Source organism: Homo sapiens, chromosome 1 (genome assembly GCF_000001405.40).
Source record: "Homo sapiens chromosome 1, GRCh38.p14 Primary Assembly".
NCBI lineage: Eukaryota > Metazoa > Chordata > Mammalia > Primates > Hominidae > Homo > Homo sapiens.
The window spans coordinates 183,873,307-183,887,603 of NC_000001.11; the positions used below are offsets into that span (position 1 = coordinate 183,873,307).

Sequence of the window (14,297 nt, forward strand, 5' to 3'; positions counted from 1 at the left end):
TGCCACCACCATTGGCTACAATTTGTGGTATGCTTACAAGGCATTCTGCTAAGTACTTTATATTTGTGTCTTCTTCAACCATCACAAATATGCTGAGATATTGTCCTCACTTTATAGGATATAAAGTGAAGCTTCAGAGAAGTTATGTGTTTTGACTAAGATCAGGCAGGTGGTTAAGTGACAGGTCTGATATTTGAACTCCCGTCCAACTGACTCCAAGACCTGGGTGGGAAGCCCAGGCATGCCATTTATAGAAGAGCATTGGGATCTCGGATACTCAAGATTTTTCTCCGCATTTGCCTATATCACCATAATAAGACTGCGGAAGTACATGAAGAACTAGATTACAATATCATTGTTGTGACTAATGTTTTAGATTGTTATTATTCTGAGATCTTTTGTCATTATTTCCATTGCTCTATGCTGTTTTGCCTGGCTGTTGCTTTATTATTGAATGAACACCCTGAGCAAGGTTCGCACACAGCTGTTAGAAATGTGGAAGCTAGACCTTTTTCCTGGGGAAGGAGATGGGTTGAAGAATGTGAGGAAACAAGACCAAATTAGGCCCATCAAAGGAGAACCTGCTTCCTGTTCCTTGTGCCTCGTAGCATCTGTCACTACCAACGGAAACTCAGTTCTAGTGGTGAAAACTATAGAAGGCCTTAGCCATTTTTTTCAATAGAGTTCTATTTATAACATGAAAACTCCCTTCTTGGACTGTGGGGAATGAGTTATTGAGGTCCTTGAAAGATAATTTTGGTGACTGGCGATGTCCTTTTCTAATAATAGCTAGAATTTATTGACTACTTAGTAGGAATGGTCCCTGTGTTAAGTACTGTACATACTTGTTAAATCCTCATAATGATTATGTTTTATTATTCTTATTTTACAGAGGAGGAACCTGGGGCGTAGGTTAAGGAACATGTCCAAGGCTACACAGTGAATAAATGAAAGAGCTGGGATTTAACCGAGGCCTTAACCTCTGTGCTGCATGACCTTTACTATTTTTCCTCTGATAAAAATGAAAATATTTCTCTTAAGTACTTAGCTTGGGAATGAAAGACAGGTGTGTAAATAACCTTGACTTTGGGTAATTGGCTTCAGGCTTATCCATCCTACTCCGGGCCCTCTCCCACTCACATTTACTGTCTTTCTGTATGTCTTCCTTTCATAATCTTTTTCTTCCTCCTTCTTGCCGTGGAGGTTTTTTTTTTTCTCTTCTCTCCCTTCCCCATAGTCCCTGCGTTGCCCTTGCCTTCTTAGTGCTTAAATCTGACTCTGGCTTTGTTGGCATTATTTCCCTGGTCTTTTCTCAATCTCTCTTTCACGTCTCCTCCTAGTATTTGAATCCCTGTTTACCAACAGCACTGAAATGTGACAATGTAAAGTGTAAAAAAGCAACGCAGGACAACCTTGACAAGTCCAGATAATAATATTTTCATCCTTTCCAGGAAAAAAACAAAGAGGAAAGCTTTGTATCTTTCTTTGTTCCTTCTCATCAGGAAAATCATCTAGCTGGAGGTCTCAGAGGCAGCTTCTATCTGGCAACCTTCCCTGAAACAGAGCAAAACTGTTCTATGATTAGGAGAACAAGGTGGAGGGTCCGGCCCAGAGTCAGGGTCAAGGTTGACTTAGGCTTCAGTTCTTGAAGGACAAAGTGTATTAGATCCTGCCCTCAGAGCTTGGCAGAAGTTACTTCATTGCTTGAAAGGCCCACCGTCTGCGTAAATCTTCTTACCTTTTCATTATCTGCAGCGAAGACAAGATCCAGTTCTCAGAGAATGTATTAAAATAGAAAAACATTTTGCTGCTTTTGAAAAATGGTTCCATGTCTTATTTTCTGCTGATGATTAAGTACAAAAAATTATTATTTCAAATAGATTGCTGGGGAGAGAAAAGAACTCTAGATGGATAGTGTTATTCTTTTTGTCACGGTAATCCTATTTCTTGGCTCAGAAGTTACACATCATGGGAGAGGTGACTTCATACCTGAAAAAATTTGTATTAAACATTTGACCAATTATAGAGTATTTTACTGCCTATGGAATGTTAATATGATTTAATACGTTTACCTAAAATCTGCATTCATTAAAAAGTCTGTGATTTGCGCATAATCGCTGCCTAAATGCTTGCCTCAGCCCTCTCTGCATTGCGTGCCTGAAGATCGTGGGGTGGCTAGAAGTTCTGAACCATTTTCTTTTATCTCTCAGCCAAGGTGCATCTGTCTAATGTCTTCTAAGCAGGTGTTATTAGGTGTGATTTCTGGTTGGCTGAGAAATCAATGAGTGGCCAGCTGCGGTGGCTCATGCCTGTAATCCTAGCACTTTGGGAGGCCAAGGCAGGTGGATCACCTGAGGTCAGGAGTTTGAAACCAGCCTGGCCAACATGGTGAAACCTGGTCTCTACTAAAAAGAAAAAAAAAATTAGCCAGGCATGGTGGCACGTGCCTGTAATCCCAGCTACTCGGGAGGCTGAGGCAGGAGAATCGCTTGAACCTGGGAGGCGAAGATTGCAGTGAGCCGAGATTGCGCCACTGCACTCCAGCCTGGGCGACAGCTCTGTCTCAAAAAAAAAAAAAAAAAAAAATCAATGAGTATAGCAGATTTCATCATGCTCCTTTCCCCCAACTCTTTATATTTTTTAGTTTAACAGATCTTTAAGTCCTCTACAAGTGTTTAGCTCTTTCACCGCAGAACCTCTGCCTCATTGCTGCCCCAGAATCCTCATCCCACTGACTCCTAACCCTCAAGATCTCAGCTTTCACATCATTTCCTCAGGGAGATCCTCCCTAAAGCCTTGACCAGGTCAGCTCCCTCTGAAGTTCAGTGCTTCCCTGGGACCCTGGACTTCCTGTATTGTGATGCTCATCGCATAAATTGTTTTTGTGACTCTGGGAAATAAAGGGCACTCAACAAATATTAGTTTAATTGGTGAATGAATTTCTTAGAAGCAAAAGTCCTAGAAGCTGCTTTAGTATGTTTCAAACAGTGACATCTGAGCATGTCTTCCTTCCCCTATAGACGATTGCAGTCGGTTGGAAAAGAATCACACACTACAAAGTTTTGTATGTTGCCAAGAATGCCTGAGGTAGAAAACTCAATTTTGGTTGTCTCCTCTGCTATCAGTTTTGGGCCCCTGGCCTTGGCCACCTACCCGGCATACTTGCCCTTAGGACCGAGGAGTTTTGTTCTGTGAGCCACCAAAGATTACTTTGGAAAAGGAAGTCACATACTGGCTTTTCTCCAGACTGAATTTAGGTTATGTCACAATTGTAATCATCCAGTTTGGCTTCAGGAATTACTTCTGCCTTTACAAGTTATTCAAGAATCATCTCTTGCAGTTAATACTACAGTTTGATGTCTTTGATTTGTCCTAGAGAGGATACCTCAAGGTATATGTATGTGGGCACATATGTGTGTGTGTGTCTTGTGTGTGTGTTCACAGCAGCCATCTTCTTCCAGCAGGCCTGAAGTCACACATGTCATAGCATGGCTTGTATTCTGTGTCATTCTTCCTGTGAGAGGTGGCAGATTCTTTGAGTCAATTCCTGTGAGTGCTGATGGATTTTCGCTGAGCCATTTTACCTTTTCAATCCCTTCCTTCTATGACTTCTGGCAAGTAGTTGTAAGACTGTTGATAATTATGTTTCTCTCCAGGTATCTCAAAATGTCCTTATTGACATTATATCATTTGAAATCACAACTGATCAGTGTCAGGTAGATGAAGAAGGTGTTATTATATCTCTTCCCCAGAGAGGGGGGTCAGTGGAGTTAACTGACCTATCCAGGCTTCCTTAGTTCCCCGGTGGGACAGCCAGGATGAAAGATAGAGTTTTCTTTCTCCAGGTCTCCAAGCGTCCTGTCTTGGTCTGTGTACAGAACCAAGTGGCTTCTGTAGTCTAACAGACATACCAGACCTGTAAATTTGTGACTTCAAACCAGAATTTCCCTTCAGCTGTAAGATTCTTTACATCCCCCCACTCTGTTCTGGTTAATATATAAGTTAGATCTTAGGACTGGAGCCAGGCTGGGTAAGACCGAAAAGCCATTGGCCAGTAATCCTGTTTTTCTTTTCATCATTATTTTGCGATGTTGCTTTCTTTTTTGAAATCTTAAAAGTTTCGCATTTGTATCTGCTTCTAAATCTATCAAGAACGGAAAGTTTCTTCCCAGGACTGGCACACACAAAGCTACTGTGAGCCTTGGGCATGTGTCCAGGCCTTTCCAGAAAGCTTCCCTGCCTGGTGTGCTGAGAAACGCTCTGCCGATGAGGAGGGCAGGGCTCTGCCTCGTGTTCTATTGTGCTGTTTGTGTATGTCTTTCCCTTTCTCTGTTTCTTCGTCCTCCTCCCCCTTCATTCCTCTTTTGTGTGAAAATGCTTTTTTCTGGCTGATTGAGTATCTGAGTTTGTGGTGAACTTTCAAAGCCTTCTTAGGCTAAGCTACAGGAAGGTCACTGTCACAAAGAGTAAAAAAATGTATAGATCGCCAGAGTTCATTAAAAACATCAGATTGAGGAACACAAAATGTCCACCTAAGGGCAAGTCTAATGTGGACGAAGGCTCCTCTTTAGAACTCTCCTAGTTCTTCTGAGGCTGCAGCTCTCCATAGAGGTAAGTGCTGTGTGCCCATCAGAAATACCCACACGAGCATGCAGAGATGGAGGCAAGGATGCACATATTTTGTAGTTGTGACAACCTGAAAATAACTTAAATACCTGCCTTCCAGTAGAAGAATACTTAATTATGGTGTGTCCACATCATGAGAAACAATAAGATAGATCTAGAGGTAATGATGAAGTATCTGTAATATACTGCTCAGTAAAAAAGCCCATGTTGATTTTCTTTCTATCTATCTATCTATCTATCTATCTATCTATCTATCTATCTATCTGTCTATCTTTTTTTTTGGAGATAGGGTCTCGCTCTGTTACCCAGGCTGGAGTGCAGTGGTGTGATCACAGCTCACTGCAGCCTCTATCTCTTGGGTACAATCAATCCACCCACCTCAGCCTCCTGAGCAGCTGGGACTACAGGCGTGTACCACCACACCTGGCTAATTTTCTGTATTTTTTGTAGAGATGGGGTTTCGCCACGTTGCCCTAGCTGGTCTCGAACTCCTGGGCTCAAGCAATAATCCTGTCTCAGCCTCCCAAAGTGCTGGGATTACAGGCGTGAGCCACCACACCTGGCACATATTATGTATATTTAAATATGTATACATATCCACAGAAAAGCCTAGAAGGATATATTCTAACAGTTAACAAAAGGTCCTGGGAATGGGATTAGGATGAAGGGAGAGAGTAGGTATTTTGCTTTTTTAGTTTATGTACATTTGTAAGACTTACTTTTTTGCAATAAATAATGAGTTTTATCATAATAATTAAGGATCACAGGCATTTAAGAAGTGAATAATATATTAGCATCACTGACTCTTACCTGTAATTTTGTGTTTCCGTCTGGGTGTTCTTTTCAGTGAAACACTGTCTTGTTGTTAGGCTGCTACTGTTTTTGACTTGAGTATATGATATGAATTATCACCTCTCCATATCTGTTTTTCCATCAGTGTCATCATAAGAGTATCTTTTCACTGAAATATTAAGAAACATTAAGCAAGTATAGTGGTGTTAATTAGATTAATTCATCCCTCTTTTTAAAGGTGCAAAACTCTTTTTCTGTAAAAGTCAAGCTGATGTAAATGCAAATATCAGGTTTTCAATTAATTTCTGGCTTTCTGGAAGAAAGTGAAATTATTGTTTATCATTTCATTTAATCTGGACTAAATATTTGGAGTATTGAATTATTTCTATGACTTTCATTTGATGGTTTCATGTATCTACTTTAGATGCAGATAATTGAATATTATAGTTCCAAATGCTTTAACGTTCCACATTAGTGAAACAATGATCTACACCATAATGAAAACAGTAACACATTTATTTTCTTTCTGTTTGTACTTCAATTCCAAAAGTTAAGCATTAAATTGGCTTTAGTCATACTTATGCTTTGATGATAGTCCAGCTTCTTGGTGTGAAATCAAGATGTGAAGAAAGTTAGACACACCTGTGAAAGCCCAGCCTTCACTTTCACATATGTGGGTAATAACTTAGTCCAGTTATAGTTTGTTAACTAAAAAAACAATTTCTTTGAAGTATAATTAGGTGATAATGATAATTTTAAAATGTGCTAAAAAATTCTTTTTGGCTGAAAAATTTTGGTAAAGTGTTTAGTTAAGATGAGGTGTTGTGTCTCTGTCAATAAAAGATGCATGGATTAATGTATAGTCCCTGTCATCTTCTCCAGCCTTCAGCAGTGACTATTCCGGGACCGTATGGGGTAACTGGTTGCTAGGCAGGCAGAGTGTTCTGTTCTGTTCTCCTTGTCTGTGGCATGTGATTGAGTCAGGAGTGTTGGTAAAGTCTTCTTTGAAGATGAAGCATAGAATAATAGCATGCAAAACATTTTATCCTTTTTATCCTTCAGCTATTTGTCTCTAGCCTTCAGTGAGTGGGTGCCCCAACCTAAAGACAACATGCTGTGTTATTACTAACATACTGGAGGGAGCTGTGCACATACAAATGACCCTGTCTCTTTTTGTGCCCTGGAACCTTGTCTTCCCCTAGGTGGACTCTGTGACCCACAGAGCCATCAGAAGAAATCACCTTTGCTTATCAAGTTTTTGTTCTTTATCTTTTAAAGACATAACTTCTCTACCTACTGTTTCTGCTACTTGAAACATATTCCTCTCATTGTAATTTGAGAAACAAAAGGATAATTTTATGAGGACATTTTCAGTGTTCATGCTGAAGCCCTGGTGATCCTTGTCAACTTGAATTTATGCATTTATCTTTCCACACTCAGGCACTTCCTTTCATCAGATGGATTTCTGGCCTACCGGCAGTCAGTTATTTCCTAACATATTAGGTGGCAGATTTTGTGGGATTTAATTTGAGCATAATCTTATTGTGTACAGATTGCTTTGAAGTTTCTTCAGGACTCACTAAACCTTCTACACATCAATTTTTCTGCCCTGTATGGGTTTTTCCAAAGTTTAGCCTCCTTAAAACAAACAAACAACAACAACAAAAAACCTTATCAGTTTCACTGCAGCACTCCACTTAAAACAATAAAGTTTAGTTTGTTTTCAAGTGCTTTAAATCCATTGATGTTTCTAGGAACTTTTGGATGAATGATCTGTTGACCACCCACCCAAGTTTCCAGGGGTGCCCCTGGGGTCCACCCTGGTGTCCAGGGATTGCTTTGCCTCCCCACAGCCAGTTGGGTGCAGTGACTCTCCATTTGTCTTTCTCAGTGCAATCGCTTCCATACTAAGGGCCTGGCTTGACCAGTGTGCAGAAGACTTCCGAGAGCCCCCTCACTTCCCTTGCTTACAGAAACTGCTGGATTATCTCACACGGATGATGCCGGGCTCTGACCCAGAAAGAAGAGCACAAAATCTTCTTGAGCAGTTTCAGAAGCAAGAAGTGGAAACTGACAGTGAGTACTTGTTTGTTCCCAGGGAAAAGGCTAGATTCTGATTCTCCAGCCTCCACGCTGGAGAAAGGTTCTCCCTGTGCTGGCTAATAGGAAACCTTGGTACCCTCAAAACAACATGCTGCTGGAGGATTGGCTTGAGTATAAAATTCTCAAGATTACTGAAGTACTAATTAGAGAGCCTAGAATTTTAGACAGAGAAGGGTATTTTCAAGACTACCTAATCTGGCTCCCTCATTTTATGGATGAGGAAACTGTGGAAACTCCAGCTCAGAAAAATTAAGTAATTTCCTGGGGTTTCTTCTGTTACCAAGAAGAGGGTCTCCTTGATGAACTTTAATCTTCCCTTATCAACATGTACCATGCTGAACCTGAATTTGCATTTTATTACCTGTTTAATGGCTCCTTCTAGCCTTCCATCACAACCACTCCCGTCTAGCAGTCAAGGAATGAAGTCTAGTTCTGATCCTGCCCTCCCAAAAGCTTGGAAAAGGTGTTTGTCCTTCAGTATGGAAAAGCATCACTGTAACGGGTCCCCTGCCAGTGCAGATTGTCATCATTTAGCATCTATAAGGGCCTCATCAAAGGAAGTTTCTGCAGCTGTTTTTCCCTATTTGAAGATTAACTTCCTATTTGCAAGGACAAAGGAAAGGCCACCACTGCAGGTTATGAGGTGCTTGGAACTATTAGGCTTTGAAGAAAGTCAGAAAGAGGCTGGGACAGGCTTCCAGTGTGATGTTGTATCCTCTCACTGGGGTGCTGGGTGACAGTTTCCATGGTGGCTGACCCACTTGGAGCTTCTGACAGGCATTACCCTGAAGGGATGCCTGACTTCATCAGTAAGGGAAAGGAAATGTTCCTCAGCACCAATAAGGAAAGCTGCATCAGCTCCAAAGAAAATAGACCTAAATTCCAAACAATACCTGCTGAATTTCTTATGGATGGGGGTCCCAGAGAGAGGGAAATGCAATTGCATCATTGGAAGCTGACTGCCAAATACTCTATATCTCAGATGACTTCATCTGCCAGGAATGTTTGAATACCAGGGGCACTCCTCCAGCTGCGGACCTCAGCTCCCTTCAGGGCCTCCATGCCTGGCTTTGTGCTGGAGTGGGAAACGCTGTGTTGGAGCCCAGCTCTCCCCACTGGGGCTGCCCCTGGCTCTGAGCCTAATTGGGGAACCGGTGGGACCAGTCATTCATTGTTTCCAACACAGGGACTGCAAGGCAGAGCTCATTTGGCAGGCTGAGGCAGGGGAGAGGGAGATTGCCTCAGTTCCCATGTGCTTGTTTTACCCAATTTTACTCCTGCGGAAGAAGCAAGCTCTCCTATATGTTTTTAAAAAGTAAAATCGTGCTTCATGTTGTTACTTATCTCTGGAGGAGAATCAAAAGCAGAAAACAGTGAAGGCATGGACTATGCCCCAGAGAGAAAGGATCATGTAATCTTCATGCACAGCAACATTATAGACACACATTGGGCTGCTGTGTTTGCTGAATGAATGAATGGAAAGATCAAGCCTTAGCACATACCCTGCTCCTTGACTGAAGTGGGTTAGGCTCTGCATTGCAGGGCAAATGGGATATATGTATGTATTTGTTGACAAGACGAGGGAGAGGCCGTTTCTGAACCTTTATTTGGGATCCCAAGTTTCTAATTACACCTCTAAATTAAACAGTGCCAGAGTTGTATGGAGGAAGAATGATGAAATTAGATTGCTTAACATCCTCCATGTCATGGGGTTTTAGCTTCCTTTAGCTTGTACCTGTTTGTGTCGCAGACTCCGGGGATAGGCAGTGATCCCCTTCTACGTTTTTCAGTCATAACCCAACCCCATTGGCATCTGGAACTTCAAGTCCAGGGTAAAGGGGCAATCCTCAAATCACATACCTGCCACCAGTATAGGCAGATAACCACATGCTGCCCTAAAGGGGAAGTGGTGTAGGGTCCACTCTCGGAAGCTCCTTTTCCCTGGAAAATGAAGGAAAGCCACTGTGACTTAATCCAAGATGCCCAATAGTCTTTAATTCTACAAAGAAAGAAAGAAAAGGCTCAAAATATAAGCATTCTGGGGGAGTAGTAACATGCTGATTTACATTTCTGCTAAGATATAACTGAATGTAACTAGAGTTTTCTTTCCTTGAGAACAGGTTTGACAGGAAGGAGTGTGAGGGGTGTGAAGGGGCTGAGGTTGGGAAACAACCCGAGCACTGGGGAAAGGTTCCAGGAAAGGAAGGCTGGGGATTTAAGTCAGAAAACCTTCATCAAATTCCAGTCTTTCAAAATGGAGACTGGAGGTCCTATTCCAGGTGTGGGCTCTTCTGCTTTTTATTCGGAATCCTGGGTACTGATTTTCTCTTCTTCATGCTGTGCCCTATGTAATTTGCTAATTGATGATCTTGGCTGTGATAGGTTCAGGTGAATTTAGTTGAAGACTGTTCTGCTTCATGCATTCTTAGCTTTGGGTGGAAGTTGAAAGTGACTCTGAACATTTTGAGAATTTTGAGGGCTTCGTCAGCATTTCTAACACCAAAATGGCTCATTTTATTGCCCAAAGTCATACCTGCCTTCATGGCGAGTCCTTCCAGGCTTCTGGTTATAAGTCGCCCAGCAACCAAAAATTGCATGGTTGGGGTTTAGGAGTTAGTTGGATTAGTCCTGGAGCTGATCTGATCAAAAAGTTTGAAAGAGCCCTAGACAAAGGGCTCTCTCTAGACTTTGCCTATCCTGGCTCTGTCCTTGGCCTAGGAGCCAGTGATTTGTCAGAGTGAGAGCATGAGGGCTCTGATCTTAATAGAGAATCTAAGAACAAGCAGAGATGGGAAGATCTCCATTGTTCTCAGATGCATTGTGCTTGTGGTTGTCTCCCTGTGGCTGTTCTGGAGGATTGGCCCTCTTCTTCCTAAACAAGGAGTAAAGTCTGATGACTCTATAAGCAAGATTATATACACTGGCGCCAAATTACTAATCTTTTCCATATGTGAACAGATGGGCTTCCCAACACGATCTCCTTCAGCCTGGAAGAGGAAGAGGAACTGGAGGGTGGAGAGTCAGCAGAATTCACGTGCTTCTCAGAAGATCTCGTGGCAGAGCAGCTGACCTACATGGATGCAGTATGTCTTCTCTTTGTGATCAGATGTACTTTCACTTAAAACATAGGGGAGTGATGGCACTGGTGCCCCGGTGACAGCAGTGGGATAATGTGATTTTAAGTCTTCTTGAATCCTTGAGACAGGCTGCGCCTGCAGATACAGAGTTAAGATGTGTCTTGAATCAATCATCTGAATAATTCAGGCCTGAGCTCTTCTTGCAACTCTAGGAGAAGGTGCTTTTGGAGCTCAAGACACAGAGGGAAATAAGAATTCGAATCCCTGTGAAACAAAATCTGCCTTGTTCTGTGGGTATTTTTCTCCCTTTACACTCATAAATATTTCAAGATCTGAACTGTTTATTTGGAGGATTGTAAAGGGATCAAAGTATAAGTTAGAATAAAATAAATTCACAGAATCCACATGTGATTGTATCTGGCCCCTCATTTCCACGTGTGCTTTCTGTACTTTTGAAGTTTGAATATTTTTGTGAGCTGGACATATTTGAGTATGTCAGTCAGATTTCATAGGTCGGTGTTAGATGGTAAATACAAGAGGACTGTGAGGAGTTATCGTGGTGGCTTTAGCTCTTCTGCTTTATCACTTTTGACAAGGCAGTGTGGAACAGGGTGGAGATTTTCCTTCTAGTGAACATTATCGATGAGTATATTAATTATTTACTTTTGTCTGTTGAAATGGACACCATGAGACAAATCAAGTAGAAAAGGATTATCTGGCCATTCACAAAAATACCAATTTACAAATGACCCAGATGACATGCTTTGCCATATGAAATGTCTGTGTTGTCCTTAAAGTCAGTTCCTCTTTTGTTCCAGCAACTCTTCAAGAAAGTAGTGCCTCACCACTGCCTGGGCTGCATTTGGTCTCGAAGGGATAAGAAGGAAAACAAACATTTGGCTCCTACGATCCGTGCCACCATCTCTCAGTTTAATACCCTCACCAAATGTGTTGTCAGCACCATCCTGGGGGGCAAAGAACTCAAAACTCAGCAGAGAGCCAAAATCATTGAGAAGTGGATCAACATCGCTCATGTAATTGTCTTTTATAAAATATTCTTTGTGTTTGGTAGATGCAAGAGACTGCTCCATCACTTCGTTTAAATGGTTTAGCTGTTTGGTTGAAAAGGCAGTCAAAAGACCATATATGAGAGCCCACTGGGTTTTTGTTGTTCTTCCAGAGTAAGAAAAAAGTTGCCTTTCTAAACTTGGCAGCTTATTTATTTTCCTCTTTTTTAAAAAATTGGACCCCTGCTCACTTCTTCCCAGTTATGGGCTCTCACACTGCTACCTCTCTAGAGTGAGACATTCTGTCTGCTTTCCCCTTTGTATTCACGACAAGACTGAGTGTTGGTTTCAGCACCATGTTCAGTAAATATAAATGTATGGTCTGCATGTCAAAACAGACTGCCCTTCAACCCAGAGTGATTACCTATGCCCCCTCCCAGTACCTGGAGGCATTACATCTTCTGCAGTTTTGAAGAGCTGGTACTTCTTCAGAGTCCTGAATCTCTTTTCTAAAGGACTGAGACACTTACAGAGATCTCATATTAATCTGAGGTCATGTCTCATATTAATCTGAAGTTGGAGGGGAGGAGTCTGTTCCTAGGCCTGACTCACATTCTTCTGAGTGTTGGAGTCTAGTCTCTTGGATGAACTGCTTACATACCATAGGACCTCCCCTTCTCAGCATCTTATCTCATGACTGAGAAAATGGCAACAGTGTGCAGTCAGTGGGCCACCAAATATTTTGTGAACTTCTAATGTGTGTAAACCACAATATTCTGTACTTAGGGGACATACTAGGATAGAGCATAATTATTTGTTTGCAGGAACCCGTACACAAACAAGGAAGCTAAGATATACTGGAATTATCTCAGCCTGAGACAGTAGAGGAGTAGGGCCATGGGAGATAAGCACTGTAAAAGTGGGGGAGAGAGAAATCATTTCTGATGGGATGATCAAGGAAGGTTTCATGGATGAATTGACATTTGAAATTAACTTTGAGTAACAGATAGGATTTTTGGTATTTGAAGATTAGAGAGGTTTTTTTTTTTCTAGGCAAAAGAAATTACATCAGCAAAATAATGATTTTGAAAAATTATTAATATGAAAATATCATATTAATTTGTGTTCTGGGCTCTATGGGTAAACTCTCAACCAAAACACATTTTGCTTTATGTCCCCTTAAATATATTTTTCCTTGAGCCCCTATTGATAGGGCATAATGTTACATTCTCTTTTGCTGTCTTTGATTAAAGAGCAGAGACACAATTGTGCCAGATAATTTGCCTTGAGTCTTCAGGTGGTCTGTTATTACAGACTTCTTAGTGTATTATGAAAGTCAGCAAGAAACAAAGAGTGTAAGTTGCATAAACAACTTCTATTTCTCCTATTCTAAATCGAGCTTATTGCTCAGCAAGTAAGAGATACAAAAGAAGTTGTGAGTGAGATATAGTGTAGAAGTTCTCTGTTTTTTTAGAATGATAAGGAATTATTTTTTTTTTTGCCATAAGTGTCACAGCATGTCTCAAAAGCAGACTGTCTACCCCTAATTCATTCAACTACTTTGGCTATAGTGACAATATAGCATCTGTGTATGTGACATAGTGGGGCTCAAGCGATGACTTTTGGTCCAAATTGAATGTAAATTGTGCATTTATGTAGTAATAAGAAATGCAAGTTGAATCATTTGAAGTATATTTCAAATCCCATATCATGTGCTAATAAAGCCAAGGGCTCTTACTTTTTTTTTGGTGATATCACTTCCTAATACTGAGTATGTTGTATCTTTTACAATTGTGTAGGGAAATGTAATAAAATAATGAGGCTTACCAGTGGTTTGCTACCAAGATTTATTTTACCTTTCCTGCATTCATCGTAGTCAATTTCTATTGAAAGGATATTTGAAAAAGAAAATTTTTCTGACCTAATATGACTATATTTTCTTGGACTGCCCTTAATGGTATGTTTTTACTTTTGCATCACATCTCCTGGAAGATGCCTCTTTTTCTAGAAATGGGACCAGATGCCTTTTGTACTCCTTTAAACCCTTAGTTTAAACCTCTTTTTGAATAATGTGTTCCATGTGTTTATTTCAATTTGCATGATGTATCTGTTCCTGAGTTCCTTTTTTTATTGCAAGTTTCCTGATTTTTAGAATATAACTTTTGTGAACCTTTGTTGAACCATGCTCCCATAGGCTTAGTTTCCAGATTGCAATTCAGAACATTTCTCTTGTTCTCTCTCTCTTCCCCTCCCTCCCTCCCTCTTTTCCTCCCTCCCTCCCTCCTTCCCCTCCTTCTTCTCTCTTTCTCTTTATATCTTTCCAAATAAGGGGAGGACATTGAGGCATTTAAAAAGGGTGGACATGACTTTTATTAAGTACTTTGGCATTTACTCTAAAGAAAATGTTTGAGGGTTTGTTTGGCATAGTTTTCAGTGTCCAGATTTTGGCATGCTAAATTAGAGTGCTGTTTTTCCTTCGTATTCAGGATTAACATTTCTTTGTGAAATGATTCTCGAAGTGATTTACATTTATGCCCAATCACTCTGGGACTTCTTACCTGAGATACTCTACACAAAACCAAATACGTGCTCACATGGTGTACTCACTTGTAAACACTGGGCCTAGTACGCTGTCATGTGCCTGTATATGAAGCATCTCCTTTGACATAAGGCCTGGTCCAGTCTCCTCACG

General features: G+C 41.0%; 1 protein-coding gene across 13 annotated transcripts in view; it reads left to right on the forward strand.

Moving 5' to 3' along the window:
- Positions 1-14,297, forward strand: part of RGL1 (ral guanine nucleotide dissociation stimulator like 1) — a 292,424-nt gene that overhangs the window by 237,198 nt on the left and 40,929 nt on the right. For all 13 annotated transcript variants that reach the window (XM_011509339.4, XM_047415682.1, NM_001297669.3 and 10 more), the window contains 3 exons: positions 7,310-7,494; positions 10,480-10,604; positions 11,417-11,632. In XM_011509339.4, coding sequence (XP_011507641.1) covers positions 7,310-7,494; positions 10,480-10,604; positions 11,417-11,632 — 526 coding nt within the window. The remainder of the gene's footprint in view (positions 1-7,309; positions 7,495-10,479; positions 10,605-11,416; positions 11,633-14,297) is intronic.